This window comes from Homo sapiens, chromosome 19 (genome assembly GCF_000001405.40).
Source record: "Homo sapiens chromosome 19, GRCh38.p14 Primary Assembly".
Taxonomy (NCBI): Eukaryota; Metazoa; Chordata; class Mammalia; order Primates; family Hominidae; genus Homo; species Homo sapiens.
In genome coordinates, this window is record NC_000019.10 from 57466846 (window position 1) to 57487328 (window position 20483).

General features: G+C 43.4%; 1 protein-coding gene across 8 annotated transcripts, besides 3 other annotated features; it reads right to left on the bottom strand.

Moving 5' to 3' along the window:
- Window positions 2741–10721, bottom strand: ZNF772 (zinc finger protein 772). 8 transcript variants are annotated; one of them, NM_001024596.3, is made up of 5 exons: window positions 10432–10721; window positions 9789–9827; window positions 8815–8941; window positions 8179–8301; window positions 2741–7576 (listed from the first exon to the last, which is right to left on the bottom strand). In NM_001024596.3, the coding sequence occupies exons 1-5, from the start codon at window positions 10462–10464 to the stop codon at window positions 6429–6431; spliced, it is 1470 nt and encodes a 489-aa protein (NP_001019767.1). In that variant the 5' UTR covers window positions 10465–10721; the 3' UTR covers window positions 2741–6428. The 8 variants fall into 8 exon arrangements, with proteins under 8 accessions (NP_001019767.1, NP_001426146.1, NP_001137540.1 ...); NM_001439217.1 differs by having other exon boundaries at window positions 9535–9827; NM_001144068.2 differs by lacking the exon at window positions 8179–8301.
- Window positions 9922–10445: an enhancer, noted in NCBI's record as "H3K27ac-H3K4me1 hESC enhancer chr19:57988135-57988658 (GRCh37/hg19 assembly coordinates)". NCBI's record gives its function as "activates a minimal SCP1, AML or CMV promoter by ChIP-STARR-seq in naive H9 embryonic stem cells {active_cell/tissue: H9 hESC(naive)}" and the evidence as "EXISTENCE:reporter gene assay evidence [ECO:0000049][PMID:30033119]".
- Window positions 9922–11235: a biological region, named in NCBI's record as "MED14-independent group 3 enhancer GRCh37_chr19:57988249-57989448".
- Window positions 10036–11235: an enhancer, noted in NCBI's record as "MED14-independent group 3 enhancer chr19:57988249-57989448 (GRCh37/hg19 assembly coordinates)". NCBI's record gives its function as "activates an origin of replication core promoter dependent on BRD2, BRD4, P300/CBP and CDK7 cofactors, and independent of MED14, by STARR-seq in HCT116 cells {active_cell/tissue: HCT116}" and the evidence as "EXISTENCE:reporter gene assay evidence [ECO:0000049][PMID:35650434]".

Sequence of the window (20483 nt, forward strand, 5' to 3'; positions counted from 1 at the left end):
CCAATGCAGTCCCACACTCACTTCGTGCTCTCTTCTACAAGCACACAGATTTTTCTCTGCATGTTGGTCTGCCAAGGGATGGGAAAGGGGTGGTTTAAGCAATGCAAGACTACCTTTCCTACCCACTTCAATGCCTTTCTTCTTGATATTATGTTAAAATCAGGTACTCCGATCACTCATCTAGTTTTCTGGTTCTTATGAATGTGCTTTCTTGCATGAGTAGTTGTTCAGCTCGTGTTCCTGTGGGGAGAAAATTGATGAATGTTTCTCTTTGGCCTTCTTGCTCCACTGATTTTTCTTTTTCTAGATTTTTACATAAATTGAATGATACTACATGTAATCATCTGCATCTGGCTTCTTTCACTGAGCTTAAGGCTTTTGAGATTTGTCCATATTATGTATAGGCATCCTTTTATATTGCTGGATAGTGTTCCATTTCATAGAGATGCTACAATCGATTGCTGCCATGGACATTATTGTGCATACCCAAAATTTATATGTTGAAATCCTAACCCCCTAGTACCTCAAAATGTGATGTATTTGGAGGTAGGACTTTAAAGAATTAAGTTGAAATCAGCCCATTAGGTTGGACCCTAATCTTACCAGTGTCCTTATAAGAAATTAAGACACACAGAGACACCAGGGGTACACATGCGTACAGTGATGGCCTTGTGAAGAGACAGAAAGAGGGCAGCCATGTGCAAGCCAAGGAGAGTGGCCTCAGAGAAATCCAACACTGCCAGCATCTTAATCTTGGACTTTAGAATTGTTAGAAAATTAATTTCTGTTGTTTGAGCCACCCAGTCTTTGGTATTGTGTTATGGCAGCCCTAGAAAATTAATACAATTACTCATTCACCTATGGATGGTCATTTGAGAATTTTTTTTAAGTGTTCTAGTTATTGGTTAGATGTGAAGTTTCCATACCTTCTCCCCACAAAGTCAAGGCACATCACCCTCCTGGTACATCAACATGTTCACCAACCAGGAAACTCCACCAAGCCTCTGCGTCAAGAGTTCTAAGTTGGTAGGGAGGAACGAGGAGGGGGTATCTCATTTTGTAGCTGTGATTAAATCACAACCACATGGCTGACTTCAATCTCTAGTTCCTTTCCTCTCCCCAAAGGTCAATCTGGCTCAAAGTTTCAACCCTCTTATTACATGGTTGGTCTTTCTGATGAAGAGCCCCCATTCTGAACCTTTCTAGGAGCCTATAATGAATCACTTCGTTAGTATAAAAAATACACTTCTCTCACTCAAAGAATTACAAGATTTTTGTAGTACTAAGCCTGGGACAAAGATCCAGATATATTTTTTATTACACCACAGACTGTATTTAATATAATAATTAATAGATTTTCTACTGTTAAACCAACTTTAAGATCCTAACAAATCTCAAGGCTGGGTGCGGTGGCTCACGCCTGTAATCCCAGCACTTTGGGAGGCCGAGGCAGGCAAATCATGAGGTCAAGAGATTAAGGCCATCCTGGCCAACATGATGAAACCCTGTGTCTACAAAAAATACAAAAATTAGCTGGGCATGGTGGCGTGCACCTGTAATCCCGGCTACTCAGGATGATGAGGCAGGAGAATTGCTTGAACCCAGGAGGCGGACGTTACAGTGAGCTGAGATCGCGCCACTGCACTCCAGCCTGGCAATAGAGGGAGACTCCGTCTCAAAAAAAAAAAAAATCCTAACAAATCTCACTAGAATATGACTTATTCTTTCTCTCTAAGAGATATATAGATATATGTATTAAATATCTTTAGTAGAGGATTTTTCAGATCTCGAGTGAGCCTGGTCAGTTGGTATCTTTCAATGGATTTTTGTTTTCCAAGTTTCAACTTACTGAGAAAGGGTTGTTTAAAACAATCACACATTATCCATTATATGTTTCAAAGTTATCTAGTACTATACTATGTTTCATTGCTCCTATCTGTAATATGTGATTTACGTTCTTTCTGATTAAAAAAAGGAGACACCTTGAATAAATTATTAAAATTGATAGACCTTCCACTATATCAGAAAGAAAAAACATGGGTTCATAGATTTTCTCAAAAAAGAAAAAACTAAATAAGGTTACTGTGAAAATTAATTCTGAGGCCCTAGTACAAAGATGGAGAGCTCAGAGCCCAAAAGTCATCCTGTGTTAAGGAGACATAGCTAAGAGTCTCGGTTTGCCAAGGTAGCTGGAGTCTACAGAGCAGAGTACAGGAGAGAAAAAACTTCAGAGATATAGAGGGCCATCCCCAAGTATTCAGCTGAGTATAATCTGTGTTTGCATATAGAAAAAGACCAGAGGATGGGTAAAGAACCACCTGAAAGGATTATACGGGAAGCAATTCCCAAGGCTTATACAGAAAACATGATAGTTCTCATTTCAACCAGCTTGAGTAAAAAAAACTCATAACTCATGAAGCATTAGGTAGAGAATATAGGAAGGTTGTGTCTCAGTAATGGGAGGGGAATTTGTCTTAAAATGTATGCTGCAATAATCTCATCGAGAAATGTTTAGAATCAAGACTCCCCAAAAGATCATATTGTTTCCAAGTAACTTAACCATGTAACAGAAAAAAGAAATCAAGAATATCTATAGAAAATTAAAAAAAAATCAGTACCTAAAATTCAGTGTCCATTCAAAATTAAACCATGTTAACAGTATCAGACAAGGGAGATTTTAGAGAAAGAATATTACCAGAGATTAACAGGATCATAATGATAAAGTGGTCAACACATCAAGTGGACATAAAATAGGAAATATTTATTATTCACCTAATAAAAACATACTAAAATATGTGAAGCAAAATCTGACAGAACTGCAGAGAAGTAAATCCAATTTAATATTCAGAGATGTCAACAATCCTCTTAAAATAATTGCTGGAACCAAAACCACAGAATGTCAATAAAGATAGAAAAAACTTAAATAACATCAACCATTTTTACCTAATCAACACTTGTAGAACCCCTTCATCAAACGAGAGTACAGTATACATTTCAAGTGAACATGTAACTCATACCAAGATAGCCCATATTCTGGGCCACAAAGCAAATCTCAATAAATGTAAATAATTCAAGTCTTAATGTACTCTGACCACAATGGAATTATTGCAGAAACTACCAGAAAGATAAGCAAAATCCCCAAATATTTAGGAATTAAATAACATACATTTAAAAAGAGCCATGTGTCAAGAAGAATTTTTTTAACTGGAAAACATCCTAAACTCAACTAAAATGAAACCACATCGGCTGGGCTCACGCCTGTAATCCCAGCACTTTGGGAGGCTGAGGCAGGCGGATCACAAGATCAGGAGATCGAGACCATCCTGGCTAACACGGTGAAACCTCGTCTCTACTAAAAATACAAAAAATTAGCCAGGCATGGTGGCAGGCGCCTGTAGTCCAAGCTACTCGGGAGGCTGAGGCAGGAGAATGGTGTGAACCCAGGAGGCAGAGCTTGCAGTGAGCCGAGATCGCGCCACTGCACTCCAACCTGGATGACAGAGCAAGACACTGTCTCAAAAAAAAAAATGAAACCACATCAAGCTTGATGGGAGGTAATTAAAGCAGTTCTCAGATAGATTTTTAACATTAACATCTCTTCCCCATATTAGGGGAAAAAAACCCAAAGGTTTGAAATGAAGGACCTCAGCTTCCATGTTAAAAAGTAGCAAAAGAAATGAAATCCAATAAAAGCGGAAGGCATTAGTAAAACTCAAAATGGAAAAGAAAAATCCCAAAATATCAGAAAACAGAAAATTCAATAATACCAAGTACTTTAAGATCAATAAAATTGTAAAATTGATAAATCTCTACCCAAACCAATCAAGGTTAAAAGAAAAATATAGACATTACCAGTATCAGGAATAGAAGAGGTTGCACCACTACAAATTCTACAAGTATGAAAATAATATTTTGAAAAATTTGAGTACTTAAATAAAACAGAAAAACTCCTTGAAAGACACAAACCATCAAAGCTCACTCTAGAGATAGATGGATGGATGGAGTGACAAACAGATGGACGGACAGACAGATGTATATATAACTAGTATAGCCCTCCATCTACCATGGAAATCAAACTTGTAGTTAGATGCTGTCCTACAAAACACACTTCAGGGCCAGAGTGACAGACAGACAACACACACACAGACAGATGTACATATAACTTGTACAGCCCTCTATCTACCACAGAAATCAAACTTATAGTTAGAAACTTTCCTACAAAACAAACTCCAGGCCCAGACAGCTTCCTTGGTGAATTCTACCAAACATTTAAGGAAGAAATAATACCAATTATTCACAAACTCTTCCAGAGAGCTGAAGAGCAGGAATACTTCCCAACTTACTCTATAAAGCTGGCATTATGCTGATACCAAAGCCAAACCTGGGCAAGATATAAAATTACAAAGAAAAAAAAGCAAGCAAGCAAGAAAGAAAGTTAGGGACAAATATCACTCGTGAACATTGGTGCAAAACTTGTTACAAAAAAACAAAACAAAACAAAACAAAATAGCAAATCAAATTCAACAATATACTAAATGACTAATACATCATGACCAAATGGGAATTATTACAGAAATGCAAGGTTGGCTTAACATTTAAAAAAATCAGTCAATGTAATTCATATTAAACAACTAAAACAGAAAAAGAAAAAAACCATATAGGATTATGGTCACCAGAGTCCAAGAAAACGCCCCACAAATCCCTATTTTCACCTTTGTGTAGTTCTCTTCCACTTTTAACCAGGATTAGCTAGGGTTACTTATGAAATATAGCAGAAATGACGGCTCATCACTTTCAGTTTAAGGTAATGACAGATACTGTGGCTTTGTTCTTGTGTGAGTTCTCTCCTGGATCACTTGCTTTGAAACTATTTCTCTACAATGGAACACTCTTAGCAAAGTACAAATGAAAAGAAATGAACTATGAAACACAGAACACCACCATGAGCCTTAATTTCAGAGTTTAAGAAGCCAAAAACATTAGAATACATATTAAATTACTCTATCTCTGTAGAATTCTAGGAAATACAAACAAATCTACAGTGACAACGGATCAATAGTTGCCTGGGGATGGGTGAAGGAAAGGGAGAAAATATAAAAGGAATCAGGAAACTTTTGGTTTGAGAAGTGCCAACATGTATCAAAACTTATCAAATGGTACACTATAAATATGTGCAGTTTATTGCAAAAATGTTTAGACTGACTTCTGGACAGTAACCTTAGCCATAAGAGACACAGGTATGGAAATATTTCTGTAAACCCTCATAATGGAGCCAGAGTAATGGAAACACATGTGGATGTACCTTTAGAAGGGTCATATTCCCTATAGTTTGCTGCAGTTTTCTCATTCCTTTATTAATCTGGGTTTCTGCACCAACTATGATTCCTACCTGGGCCTTCTGGAGGACAGCCAATATCAACTGCCTACTGAAAAATAGACTTCAGAGATCTTGACATGTCCACTGAGTTCAAATTCTCCTCAAGAAGCCTTGGGAATATGAAGTATCTTCTGGGAACAAGGGACGTAATTCATGTTGCTCCCAGACACATTAGAGATTATCACAACAAATGCCCACTGCTTAGGGTGACCTCAATTACACAAAAAATCTTAACATATAGACCAAAAGATTAGGCCTACAAAGACTGGCATTCTTTCCTAGGAGAGCTGAAGCAGTCAAGTAAGTTAGCTTGACACTAGCATAAGAGCTAGTCTTTGCCATCCTACTATCACTTCAGAGATACAGATAGTTGGAGCTCTCACAAAAGCTGTTCTTCCCTTCATACTGGCTTAGCTCAATTCTGTTCTCAACCCAACCCACAAAGCGAACAGAATCCTCAAGATTTCAGATAGTCTAAAAATTAAGGCATTTGTTGCAAAACCAGAATATGAGGCAGCCAATTTCAGGTCAGGTGTCTTGAAGGCTAGAAAAATTCGTCCCAAGTGCCATGTGAGATCAACTATATCCATGAAGGGAAACCTCTGCCAGTGGTCAGCAGAACAAAGCTCCCATTTTTCTGGCTAAAACTGGGTCATGCTCATGCTTAAACCAGTAGTGGGGCAGAAAAAAAGTGAGAATCCTTGATGGCCTCAGGCTACTGATGATTCCCTCCAGGGAAGGGAATAGTACAGAGGTCTGTCTTTTGAAACACATTGGGGTTACTTTGGCACAAGGCAGGACTCTTCCAGCACAAAGACAGATGGCTTCTAACAGGCACTGCCTTGACGAAATTCCAGCAAGAGTCTAGAAAATTCAGCATAGCTCCAGAAGGCTTCCCATATAGCTGGCACTCGGAAGAACCTCCCCAGGGTGAGTGTTTGAGTGTATAAAGTTCTACTTCTGGCTGTCGGCTACACATAAAGGCTATGCTTGGAGCTTCTCTCTGATGTCAGTTATTATGTTGAACAAGGAAACGGAATTATCTCCCATCCTAAGGCCTTTCTCCAGTGTGAATTTTCCAGTGGCGGATGAGGGAAGCCCTCTGCCTGAAGGCCTTCCCACATTCACTGCACTTATATGGCCTTTCTCCAGTGTGAATTCTATGATGCTGAACAAGTACATGTTTGTGGCTAAAGGCTTTTCCACATTCACTGCACACATAAGGCTTTTCACCATTATGAACTCTTTGATGTGCAATAAGGTCAGAGCTTTGGCTAAAGAACTTCCCACATGCGATGCACTCATAAGGCCTTGCTCCAGTATGAACACTCCAATGTTTAATGAGTCTGTATTTGTGACCAAAGTATTTTCCACATTCGCTGCACTCATATGGCCTTTCTCCAGTATGGATACTCTCATGCTGAACAAGTGTAGATTTGTGACTATAGGCTTTCCCACATTCACTGCACTTGTAAGGCCTTGCTCCAGTGTGTACTCTTTGATGTACAATAAGGTTAGAGCTATGATTAAAAACTTTCCCACATATGCCACACTCATAAGGCATTTCTCCAGTGTGGATTCTCTGGTGCTGAGCAAGTATGGGTTTGCGGCTAAAGGTTTTCCCACATTCACCGCACTCATAAGGCCTTTCTCCAGTGTGGACTCTCTGGTGTTGAACAAGTGAGTCTTTGCGGCTGAAGGTTTTCCCACATTCACTGCATTTGTAATGCCTTTTTCCACAGTGAGAGGCCTCCTCACACTTGGTGTTGCTGTGTGGCTTCCACTCATTGTGAGGGGCATGGTGCTCGAAAATGCTTGAGCTGGCTAGGAAGTCCTTACAAGCCTCCCCTGTCACAAAAGACATCTCCATTGATTGCACAGCACAGTTGTTCAGAAGAAAGGGCCTGCTCTTATCACTTCTAAAGGGTTTCTCTCCACTGTGCTGCTTCTGGTGCTGGTGAAGGTTTGCACTGAAGCAGAACTGTTTCCCACACAGCACACACATGTATGGTTTCTGCCCTGGGTGTGTTTCCTGGTGCTCAGCCAAGTGCAAAATGTCTTTTAAGACCAGGCCACATGTCCCACAGGGGTAAGCCTTCTGAGTAGAAGGACCTCCCTTGGGAATCCTGATCTGTGACATTCCTATAGAAAAGCTCTGCTCAAAAGGTATCTCTTCATCCTCCATTCCATGCCAACAACCTGAAAGCAGAGAAATGCTGGTGAAGTACAAATTGACACAGGTGGAAGAGGGGAAGCCTCACTACAAATATGTGTCTAACACAACTAAGACCAAGGTCATAGGACTGTTGTTAGGACAAGGGTCCAAACTCAAGTTCAGCAAATGTGTACTATACGGTAGTTGGCATCTAAATGTCATAGAATGGAGAAGGCCTCAACTGGGAGAGGACAAAGATGTGGGGTACAGCACAAAAAAGAGGCAGGTCTCAAAGTCATTCACAATCAGATTTTCTTGGCTGCTGGGGACAGGTGAGAGTTGTGCAGAAGGTTATGGTCCATACCAAAGAAAATCAAATTGCTACTCAGTAGTTGGTGTTTAAGGACTATTTGGGCTACACATCTCATGAAACACTAAGTACAGGCCAATGCTGGAAGGCACTGTAGAACAAGCCATGGAGAGGAACAGGTGAGACATGAAGGCAGAGGTATGGAACATCCAGAGGCCAAAGGCCAGAGTATGAAAGGCCAGTGGCCTTAGCACTAATACAACTGTAGGCACAAAGAGGCTATGGAATGATATGAACCCAGCCCTGACATCACACCTTTCCCCAGCTCCTACTCACCAGGGTCACTCCCACCTGGAGTCTCTGTGGCAACAGCTAGGGTCATGTCCACCCAGTCAGGTACCCAGGGCTCACTACCCATCACCAGTGAGGCAACTATGTGGGACATGAAAGATGTATGTCCTAAGGGAAAGATAGAACAGCACTGGTCTGGGTAACCCATATAGAAAACTAAATATTATTAAAATAATCTCAGAGTAAGGTCTTGCAGGAATAGTGCAGTGGTCCTAGCAAGTAGCGACCATAATGGTCCCTACAATTCCTGACATAGGCAGGCCACAGGAAATGTCAGCTAAAGGAAGAGCGCAGAATCCCAGGCACAGAGGTGTCATGGATACAGACAGAGGAATTCAGACAGGGAAAGGACAAGATGGATATGACCCACTGGGCTGACAATACAATGCATAACTCCTGAATCCATGCCTGCAAGGCTCTGAGACAGCAAGCGCTGGGAATGCTCAAAAGGAGAAAGTAGGAGTGCAAACAGCCCAAGCCCAGCACTCACAGAACCTACTCCAGGCACTAAGAAATGAGACAGTGTCCACGGCTCTGATGTAGGAAGGACAAAGATGCCCTGAAAAAAAGGGGAAGGGCAGGACCCAGTCCAAGTCACTGGGGTGGATGTGACGGCCTTACCCAGAGAGGCCATAAGTGCAAAGTTCTCCAGCATCACATCACGGTACAGGAGCCTCTGAGCCTCATCAAGGAGCACCCACTCCTCCTGGGAGAAGTACACGAACACGTCCTCAAAGTTCACCTGCCCCTGCCACAATCAGGAGAGCCAAGTCCATGAGCAGCATCTCTCCCAAGAACCCCCATCCGTGCCCCCACACATCTCCCTCCTGTACACCCTCCTACCTAACTCCTCAACTCAGGAAATATCAGGACCAGATGTCATTGGTGTCTTCTCTCGCCTCATGGTCCCAATGGATCACTGTGTCTACCCATAGCAACCACAGGCAGGTGAAGAAGTTGTCACCCTCTAAGCTCTGTGCTTAGCATACAGGGCCTCACCCTTCTGTAAGCAAATTCCTCTGGGGTCACTAACATCATGCTTACCAGACAACCAAAGATGGGCTTGCCTTTCTCCTTTAAGCCCAGACGTCATCAGTCTACACTTCTTTCCATATGTACATCACTCTTTGGATCACAGTTATCTCACAACTCTGGCTCTCCACCATCACTTTCCTGGCTCACTAAATGCACTACCACTGTGAAATGAATATTCTCTTTTAACTCCCAATCTACATAATCATCTTTAAGCCATTTCAGGATGATTCCCGCCCCCTTGCTCTTGGTTCCCACCAGACATGACAGAGACCTGCAATTTCTTGAAAACTCCCTTCTCAGTCTCACCTCTAAGTATTTTGCACAGGCTGGTTCCTGTGCCTGGAACAACCTTCCAACCTTATTCCAATGGTTGGCAGAAATGGAAACCCCTCCATAAAACCCCTGGCCCGGAGTCAGGACCCTGGGCTTGGGGCTTCTCCAGAGTCCTCAGACCCAAGAGATCGGAGAGTAGCAGGAGAGTGTTCTATATAACACCACAATGCTGGAGAGCGTATTGGGTGGGGGTGGGATCGGTGAGAGCATGGACATTCTCCCCTCACCTGTATAGGGTCCACAATTACTTCTGAGTTCATGGGAACCTGTGGGGAAGAGGGAGACTATGCGAGTCAAGCAATCTTGAAGGAACCCCAAAGGCTCAACCCCATCCCATATTCCTACCCAGTTACAATGTGCCTGGGAGCTGAATGTCTACCCTCTGTGCTTCCATCTTCAAGGATACCTCTTAACTGTGTTAGCTCGGAACAGTGCTCATTATCCGCCCCCATGGCCAACAAGAGTCTGCCCTCCATGAGCAGTCTATGGAATACTTTTTAAACCCTCGGATTCTGGCTCTCCTCTGTTCAGAACCTTCCATGGCTCCCATCACCCTCAGAATAGAGACCCAGCTGCTCAGGATGATATTCCAGGTGCAATCACTTATAAAGCGCTCTGATCCTTTCAGACACTAAAGGCCCAGTTTTCCCAAATGCTCCAGCTGTGAACCATCTCTGAGCCTTTGCATACACTGGTCTCTCTGCCTGGAACGTCCTTCAACTCGTGCTGTCAAAATGGGTCCCAAACACGAGCGCCCCCACTGTTCTAGATACAGGGGCCTGAGCTGCAGTAACCCGAGGAATCGTTCATTCGAAGCTTTGGGATTCAGAGATGGGGGTCAGCGCGCAGACTCGCAGACGCAGCACCCACCTGTGCCGGGCCCATCGGCTCAGCCGCCGCCATCAGGCCTGTGGACTACGGAAGGGTGGCGACAAGTGCAGGAACCTGGGATCAGCTGTCCAGGGCCCAGCCCAGCGGCTAGGTCACTCAGGCAGCGCCACTGTCAAGCCTCAGGCCCACCTCTCTTCAGGGAAGAAGACACTCTCTCACGTTTTCCCTTTTCTGTCACCTCAGGTCTGACATTGCGTTCTGGAAACTAAACCAGTGGATTAATGGAAAAGCAAACAAAATGTCCACCCGAGGATGGTAGAGGAAGTCCCGCCCTGACGTTGGTGAGGACCAACGGAAACGCCTATTTCCTGGGTTTTCATTGGCCCAGAGCCGCCAAGTTTCCTGGGTAATGTAGTTCCCACGGCACCAACACTAGTAAGCGGCGTCTCGCTTCACCTCCAGGTTAAAAGCCCAGAGAAGACCGCCAGGGGCGCGTGGAAATGGTGTCCCTCGTCTCCAAGGCCCAGACGGAGCTTAGCTTCCTCTTGAAGGAGCCATATCTGTATTTCTGGTGAACGTCGTGTTTGACATCAAAGGAATGTTTAGAGACATGATTTCAGCCTTCCTTACGCAGAGAATGCTCATCAAAAAATAAAATGGACACACCATACACTGACGTCACTCAGATTTCTATGGCTGGAAGTTAACAAATATTGTTTTCAAATGCGTGTAGCCTGATGCTCCAGAGTTAGTTTGGCGAGCCTCAGCATTTTCTGTCAGGCACAAGAAAGAAAAGACTCCAGACACCATGATGTGGAACGTGGAGTGGGGATGTTTGGTGGCCTTGAAGTAAGTGAATAACCCTTCTGTCTGTTACCTCAGAAAATATTTATCCTGCTTATACAGCAGTGATTGTGTCAAACCCAACAAGTAATACTCTTGTTCAAGATAGTATTTCATACTCCATATACAGAGATGTATTCAATATTTTAAGTGTTTTACAAGTGTCTGAAAAGACAGAATTCATCAAATGTCATATGGCAATGAAAAGGGCAACATGAACACTTTCTGTAAAGAAGAAATAACCACCAAACTAGATGTCTATACACAACAAAATGTCTTTTATGGAAGTGTGATATAAAACTATTTGAAACCAAAAATGATAAATGTAATGGAAATACATTTACACAAAAAATAATGTTTAAAATAATACTCAAGGCCAAAGAAAGTTGATCTCAGGTGAAAAGTCTGCAATGAGAGAAGAAATGAAGATGAAAAGAAGTGCATCTTTTGATTAAAATAACAGCATATTACAGTGTAAAACATAAGTAGATATACTTATTGAGTTAGAATGATGGAATTCCCGTGCGTAACCTCAACTACATATAAATTGAAAGGAGGCTAGTTGCTCAAAGTTTTAAATTTTTTATATTTCCAAGTGGAAAGCAAATGTATTACAATCCTGTATGGCACGCTAATGTGTTAAACGTTTGTAATTTTTAGCCTAAATATAATAAATACAGTCAGCGTATATACTTTTCAAACTAGAAGAGGAAATGTTTGGAATATAAATAAATAATCAATAGAAAGGTAAAATAATAGTAAAATAAGTGGAAGAAGTGAGGCAAAGAAAAGCACAATGTAGGATATATTTAAACTGTCAACCTAAATAACAGAGATTCTTCAAAGATGTTGAGTTCATTCAGGAATGCACAGGGGATTTGCAAATCCAGGACATGCAGGCTATAGGGACTATAGGCATATCCAGAGAGCTTGAAACAAGGAGAAGCTTTCAAAGGCAAAAGGGAAAAGTATATATAATTTGTTTTGAGATAAAAAGAACATTGGTCACAGATGTTTATGGCAGAGGTTAACACCAGTTCATTAGTGGAGACAATCTGTCAGGCAAGTGTTCTACTACATCTAGAGCTGTCCTTGTAACTCCTGTAGCAAGCTGCGGTTTGAGAAGTTCTTGTCAAAACTTCTTTTAACGGGAATATGTGCATTAAGAGCCCTCAGAGACAGTAATAGCTCTTATCTTAAGCATGTGTGTTTGAGTGCCCTCTTTTCTCAGCCTCCTGGCTTTATTTATTTATTTACTTATTTATTTATTTTACACAAGTTACTCATTTTGGTTTTGACAACTTTTGCAAAACCTAAATGACTATGCAATAAATACTCAAATAAGCAGTTAGTAATTTTTGATGGACCAAAACACGCTTCACGAGGTATTCTCTTTTCTTCAGTGAATTTCCACAGAATTTGAATTGTGATTGAAAGCACAACTAACATTCCCAGACTCCCTACTCTGTCAGTAAGAAAAGAATCATGTTGTAGTTAGAAACGTCCAAAATCTGCTTTAGAGAAACCAAGACCTACGCTTGAAGGTTACCAGGCCCTTGACTCACCCAACTGGGCTGAGATGTCATCAGGGAACTGCATATCATCAGCATCTTCTGGTTATTCATACAGGGGTGGGATAAGGATGACAATAATTTACATTTAATAATGTCCATATCCTAGACATTCTATCAGACCTTTTATAAACACTACGCACTTTTGCCCTGTAAAGTGGATTTGTCACCTAAATTAATATGAGGAAACTGAGGTTTCTTGGGTCTATAATTTATTTTCAGCTGTAGCTGTTAAGTGGCATAGTTGGCAATGGAGTCCAAGGAGCCATGACTAACTACTTCCCAGCATGGCCTCCTACCCTAGGTCATCTATCTGGGTAGGTTCAGAGCCCTTTCTATGTTAGACAAACAAGGCTATGAAAAATTCAATGTCCCAGGCAGCTGACATGAGGACAAGAATGTGTCTTGCCTTTTCTTCACCACAGAAACATGAACCTTCAGCTTCATTTATTCCCTAAACGTGGGTTCCTTGGATGCCAATCAAGAATCAAAACAGGAAAAGTCCTGCTGGCCCACAAATACAGAGGGTTTGATAGGTGAAATGTTATTGCCTGAGCCTCACCGTATCATCCCAACCACCCACATATCCTGTTACCTCTGCCTCCTAATATGTCTCAGGTCATCTTCTTCTCAACACCTCCAATTTCATGCCCTTGGGCCAATCTGCCAACATTCCTGAGCTACACAATGCCTTCTGCCTTGTATCCTACATCAGTTTTTTCTCTACTTTAGTTCATTCTCCACATATCATGCAGAAGATGACTTCAACACAAATCAGGTTCTATTTGGGAGAATCAGAAGCATGTTGGTGGCTAGAGGGGGAAGGGCTTCCCTCCAAACTTTAGTGTTATAACATGGTTTAGGGTTATAACCTGTCCTGCATTTTCAGTGGTCCCACCAGTAATTTCTATGTTGTCTTTTTTGTCAGGCTCATTGCTACTGTCCAGCCCCTAGGATTTCTTCCTCAGCAGAGGACTCCTGTAATGCCCCTGACTCAATCCACATTCTCTTCCTCCTCTCTCCTTTACAGCAAGAACTAAAATCATTTCCTTGCAGACCTAGGCCAGCGAACAGGAGATTCACAACCATGTTATCGATTTGGTGCTGCCCTTCACACTTCATGGAACATGAAAGCTCAGTGAGGGTCTGAGTCCACTTCCCAGCAGAGAGAGCATAGCCATGTGCCATTTATGTGAGAGTGCAATCTTGGTACATTTAGAGTAACTGTTTAATCCAATATGCAGATGGATGGTGTTCAATTAGGAATTCTCAAAATTTTTTTAAAAAGAATTCTCAAATAAAAATCTCATATAATTCCTATTCCATTTAAAGCCAATGATTTTGTTTTCCTGTGCTTTGAAACTAGAACATCCTTGTTGTCTCAATCCCAAGACGGAAGCCAAGCTAAAAAACAAAAGGAGCAGGACTTCACAGAAGCCCTAAGGCTCAATGAAGGATGGGCCATTGCACATTGCACAGTCTTTTTAAAAAAACAATAATTGTACTGCTATCCACACATCCTTGTGAGTCATTTCTCATCAGACATATATTCTAAGCCATATGCAGTACATACAGCTCTAAATTCTAGTAATCATCCTGACAGAATTCTAATGAAGGAGGTGGATGAGCATTTACCAGATTCAAATGAATGCAAACTGAAAAATAGGCAAAACTATGTTAGATGACAATGTAAGAAATCAGACATGCCACAAATTAGACCTCCTTGATGGGTGAATGACTTACAGCGGGGGTTACAGAAATGCTGGTATGGCTGGGCGCAGTGACTCACACCTGTAATCCAGTACTTTGGGAGGCCTAGGTGGGCAGATCACGAGGTCAGGAGATCGAGACCATCCTGGGCAACATGGTGAAACCCCGTCTCTACTAAAAATACAAAAAATTAGCCGGGCATAGTGGTGCGTGCCTGTAGTCCCAGCTACTCGGGAGGCTGAGGCAGGGGAATCGCTTGAACCTGGGAGGCGGAGGTTGCGGTGAGCTGAGATTGCACCACTGCGCTCCAGCCTGGTGACAGAGTGGGACTCTGTCTCAAAAAAGAAAAAAAAAAAGAAATGCTGGTATACTAACACTGTTCTTTTTTGATTGGCACACTGCTTTTAGAGATGTGTTGACTTTGGGAATATTCATTGAGCTGTACAACTACATGTTAATTTTTGTGAATGTCATTTGTAAATTAAAATTTACCAAAAGTTCATGCTAACAAACCCGAAGTGCCTATTCCATATTGTTATGCAGGCTGGATGTGATGGCTCATGCCTGTAATCCCAGAACTTTGGAAGGCCTAGGCAGGTAGATGGCTTGAGCTCAGGAGTTCAAGACTAGCCTGGGCAACATGGCAAAACTCGTCTCCGCAAAAAAAAAAAAAAACTAGCCAGGTATGGTGGCTTGCACCTGTGGTCCTAGCTACTTAGGAGGCTGAGGTGGGAGGATTCCTTGATCCTGGGAGGTGGAGGTTGTGGTGAGCTAGGATGGCACCACTGCACTCCAGCTTAGGCAACAGAAGGAGACCCTGTCTCAAATATATACGTGTGTGTTTGTGTGTGTGTGTGTATATAATTCTCCAATGTAGAATAATATATATATTATTCTCCAATGTGGAATAATAATTAATAATAATACTAATAATTCTTGGGCATTTACCCAATTGAAATAATAATTCTTGGGTATTTGCCTGATTGAAATGAAAAACTGTCTTTAAGAAAAATTCGGCTCTTCTCCCTTTAAGACCAGCTCTGCCTCTGCCTCTGCCTCTGCCTCTGCCTCTGCCTCTCCCTCTCCCTCTCCCCTCTCCCCTCTCCCCTCTCCCCTCTCCCCTCTCCCCTCTCCCCTCTCCCCTCTCCCCTCTCCCCTCTCCCCTCTCCCCTCTCCCCTCTCCCCTCTCCCCTCTCCCCTCTCCCTTCTCCCCTCTCCCTCTCGGTCTCCCTCTCCCTCTCTTGCCATGGTCTCCCTCTGATGCCGAGCCGAAGCTGGACTGTACTGCTGCCATCTCGGCTCACTGCAACCTCCCTGCCTGATTCTCCTGCCTCAGCCTGCCGAGTGCCTGCGATTGCAGGCGCGCGCCACCGCGCCTGACTGGTTTTCGTACTTTTTTGGTGGAGACGGGGTTTCGCTGTGTTGGCCGGGCTGGTCTCCAGCTCCTAACCGCGAGTGATCTGCCAGCCTCGGCCTCCCGAGGTGCCGGGATTGCAGACGGAGTCTGGTTCACTCAGTGCTCAATGTTGCCCAGGCTGGAGTGCAGTGGCATGATCTCAGCTCGCTACAACCTCCATCTCCCAGCCGCCTGCCTTGGCCTCCCAAAGTGCTGAGATTGCAGCCTCTGCCCGGCCGCCACCCCGTCTGGGAAGTGAGGAGCGTCTCTGCCTGGCCGCCCATCGTCTGGGACGTGAGGAGCCCCTCTGCCTGGCTGCCCAGTCTGGAAAGTGAGGAGCGTCTCTGCCCGGCCGCCATCCCATCTAGGAAGTGAGGAGCGCCTCTTCCCGGCAGCCATCCCATCTGGGAAGTGAGGAGCGTCTCTGCCCGGCCGCCCATCGTCTGAGATGTGGGGAGCGCCTCTGCCCCGCCGCCCCGTCTGGGATGTGAGGAGCGCCTCTGCCCAGCCGCCCCGTCTGAGAAGTGAGGAGCCCCTCTGCCCGGCAGCCACCCCGTCTGGGAAGTGAGGAGCGTCTCCGCCCGGCAGCCGCCCCGTCCGGGAGGGAGGTGGGGGGGTCAGCCCCCGCCCCGGCCAGCCGCCCCGTCCGGGAGGTGAGGGGCACCTCTGCCCAGCCACCCCTACTGGGAAGTGAGGAGCCCCTCTGCCGGGCCAGCCGCCCCGTCCGGGAGGGAGGTGGTGGGGTCAGCCCCCCGCCCGGCCAGCCGCCCCGTCCGGGAGGGAGGTGGGGGGATCAGCACCCCGCCCGGCCAGCCGCCCTGTCCGGGAGGGAGGTTGGGGGGTCAGCCCCCCGCCCGGCCAGCCACCCCATCCGGGAGGTGAGGGGCGCCTCTGCCCGGCCGCCCCTACTGGGAAGTGAGGAGCCCCTCTGCCCGGCCACCACCCCGTCTGGGAGGTGTACCCAACAGCTCATTGAGAACGGGCCGGGATGACAATGGCGGTTTTGTGGAATAGAAAGGGGGGAAAGGTGGGGAAAAGATTGAGAAATCGGATGGTTGACGTGTCTGTGTAGAAAGAAGTAGACATGGGAAACTTTAAAAAAAAAAAAAAAATTCTTCCAGTGATCTGGTAGAATTGTAAGAAAAAAAATTCTTTAATCCTAAGGCAAATATACAGTGGTTTTATTATTAATGTACAGTTTCTGACAAATTATTAACACATGAGGTGTATTAACTATGATATATACAGACAATGGGATACTACTCAGCAGTATAAATAAAGCATTGCTACACAAAACAAGGGTGAATCACAAATGCATTACACTAAGTGAATGAGGCCAGACTGCAAAAGCTACGTGCTGTTGGATTCCACGTATGTAACCCTGGAAATGTGTACGTTCCTAAAACTCCAAGAAGACAGAAATCACATCCATGATCCTGGGGCCAGGAGTAGGGGAACGAATTAACCTCAAAGTGGCATGAGAGAGGAGGAGAGAGCTGCAAACTGACCACTGAGCACAATCATGTCCAGTTTCTCACATCACTGCTTTCCGCATGCCCTGGTCCAGCCACTGTGTCTTCCTTCCTGTTACTGCAGCTCACTAAGTTTTCTCCCACCACATCTCTTTGGCACTTGCTCTACCTTTTACCTGAATATGTTAAACTTGGTTCTTTCATAGCTGCCTCCTTCTCATTTTTTTTTTTTTTTTTGGTGTCAACTCAATTATCACCTTCAAGAAAGCCACCCACATCCAACTCATCTGAATGGGCAGTGTCCTCAGCCTTCAGTTTAAACATTTCCAACTCTGTCCTCAATACAACTGCCATTCCCTCACATTCTCCCCTTCATATCCCCTATTATTTTCATCACTACTTAGAACAACTTCTGGCATTTGTTATTTATGTTTGTCTGTTTTTTTACCATTCTAGGTTCAGTTTCCAGGTAGAATGTGGACTTGGCAAATTCTACAAAACCAGACCAATATTTTCAAGGCTTGACCTGGGAGGAGAGAATGGTGTATTTGGGTGGTATGAGCAGAGGAAAAAACTTTTTCTCAGTATTTTCAGTCATTTTCTGGTGAGTCAGTGTTCAGCAGAGCAAGGACATCCAGGTAAGTCTCAAAGATGTGGTATCTATGGAAGAGTAGATGATTGTAGTGGTTAGGAATAGCTGTACTCTTGAGTAGTTGGTGATCGTGGTTCCTCAGTTCCACTGGAGCTTCCGAAGAGTTTATAATCACCAAGCCAACATCTGCTGGGATGGTGTCTTTGAGCATAAGACTATGTTTGGGCAATAACAGGACATAGGGCTGCTTACCTGTTGTAGAGCAGAACTGCTCTTCTGAAATATTAGTCTCCTTCCTCGTTGAGGAAATGGTTATATTTTCCCATCCTGTGGCCTCATCTCCCTGCCTACTTTTCCTTATAAGGATAGTTCAGATGGGTTAGTCTTGGCTCTCTAGCTGAGGCGACCAGACTTCAAGTGTCTGAGGACCAGGTAGCCATCTCCATGGAAGTCCAGAGTTTCCAGAGCTGCTGGGTGGTGACTTCTTCCGTTAAGCTCTAACCTTGGGGAGGGCAGGAGATGTCATCAAAATTTGTTTAGTTGGTTACAGCCCTCAGCCTTCCCTCATTCCCTGCAGCTGCTCATGTGTTGAGGGTTGACTTGTGATTAGACCCTGAGGTGCATCTGCTTTTCATGCCATCTTGGATGGGTTAGACTTCCCAAACACAGAGGAATGTGCTTGCTAGCCCTGAAGGAGATATGGCCAAAGGTAGAGTCTTGGACTCAAACTTTGATGTTCACACTCCTTATAGACATGTAAATATTCCTAAAGGTTGGAAATAAAAATAGATTCCAGAAGTTAGAGAGAAAACATATAGACCCGGCATATGTTGCTTTTAAAAAATAAAATAGCTTCATGGGATTTTTTTGTGAATTCAATGAGATATAAGTGAATTTCTTATGTAGATAATGATTTTACCTAAACCAAATAATTAGATAGTCTACTTGGTCCTCACCAGTCATGTTATTTGCAATTCTACATATGAGCCTGCTTTAGTGGGTTGTCTCTTCCTGTGATAAAATTAAAATGTCTACATATACTCTTTATTTCAAAACTATCACACAATTCACTACAACTTTCAAAAGAGGTATAGTTTGTTTTTTAATTAAAACCACATCTGTGAAACAACCAGTAGTGATAAAACATAGTTTCTTTCTTTTTTTTTTTAATTTATTTTTTTGAGACAGAGTCTTGCTCTGTCACCCAGGCCGGAGTGCAGTGGCACAGTCTCAGCTCACTGCAACCTCTCCCTCCTAGGTTCAAGTGATCTTCTGCCTCAGCCTCCTGAGTAGCTGGGATCACAGTCACCTGCCCCCACGCCTGGCTAAAAAATATAGTTCCTAGGCATCCTTTCTTTTCACATCACCTCACATGCCTGATACACCCCATTAAGCTAACATTTGCATGACATTTTTGTTAATCATTTTGATAATCATTCTATAAATGTCTTTATAGTTTTACTACATACATATATTTTCCTAAATGATATACTGTTTCTTATTTCCAGATTCTGAATTTTCTATACATTTTACACTGTATGGGTGACTAGATTCTATAATATGTTTTTTAGGTTTGTCCACAAAGGTTCCTGTCATGATGGTAAGCTAATTTCCATAATCTATTAGATGATTAATCCAGAATCTGCTCTTCTAATAGATGTTCTCAAGGAAGTGAAACATTTATTCCTGTGCTTGGTTTCAGAAGGAGGATATTATTTACATATTGTCCCACTCCTGTCATGGACTCATCTCTCCTCACTCTCCTCCTCCCCTCCCTTCCATATGCCACATAATGGTCTAACTGAAATAACTAATGCCATAGCTGCCATGGAAGGGGTAAAGAGCTTGTGTCTCTCTCTATTCTACCATGTTCTCAATCCCAATATTGACTCCCCTCCTCCTTTTCAGAGTCAAGTAGTACTGAACACCCAGTTCCAGAAAGCTCCAAGAAGGAGGGAGGGCTTCATTTTCTCTTGTCCTCATAAGTCACTCCAATGCTGTGTTGAAATTGATCATTATTCAGCCAACAGATGGAAGGGGCAGGAAAAGAAGTAGGGAAATTAGATTGACACGAGGGGACTAGATTCAATGGGAATGGATGTAGTGGGACTACACATAATAAAGGGTTGACATCTTTTTTTTATCAATAGTTGTGTGTTGTAAACAACAGTCTAGCATTCTACCCACCTGTGAGGAACTGGCTTTATATTTGGAAATGGAAGAGCAGTGGGAACATGGAGCATAAAGGGATGAAGGAGAGAAATGGAGGGGGAGTTGCCTCATGGGTTTGCCGCCTATTGTTGTGCCTGTACACCAATGTTGGGTCTTTGAGGAAGGAAGGAGCACAAATGAGCATGGGATAAAGGAGGAAAGTAAATCCTTGGGCTCCCATACTCTCTCATCACCTACATCCAGAATTCAGAGCCTTTTCTTATTGTCATACATCAGGCATTGCTTGGCCACCGTTAATTTTAATATTGGGTGTCCTTTTGTCAAAGGAAATTTGG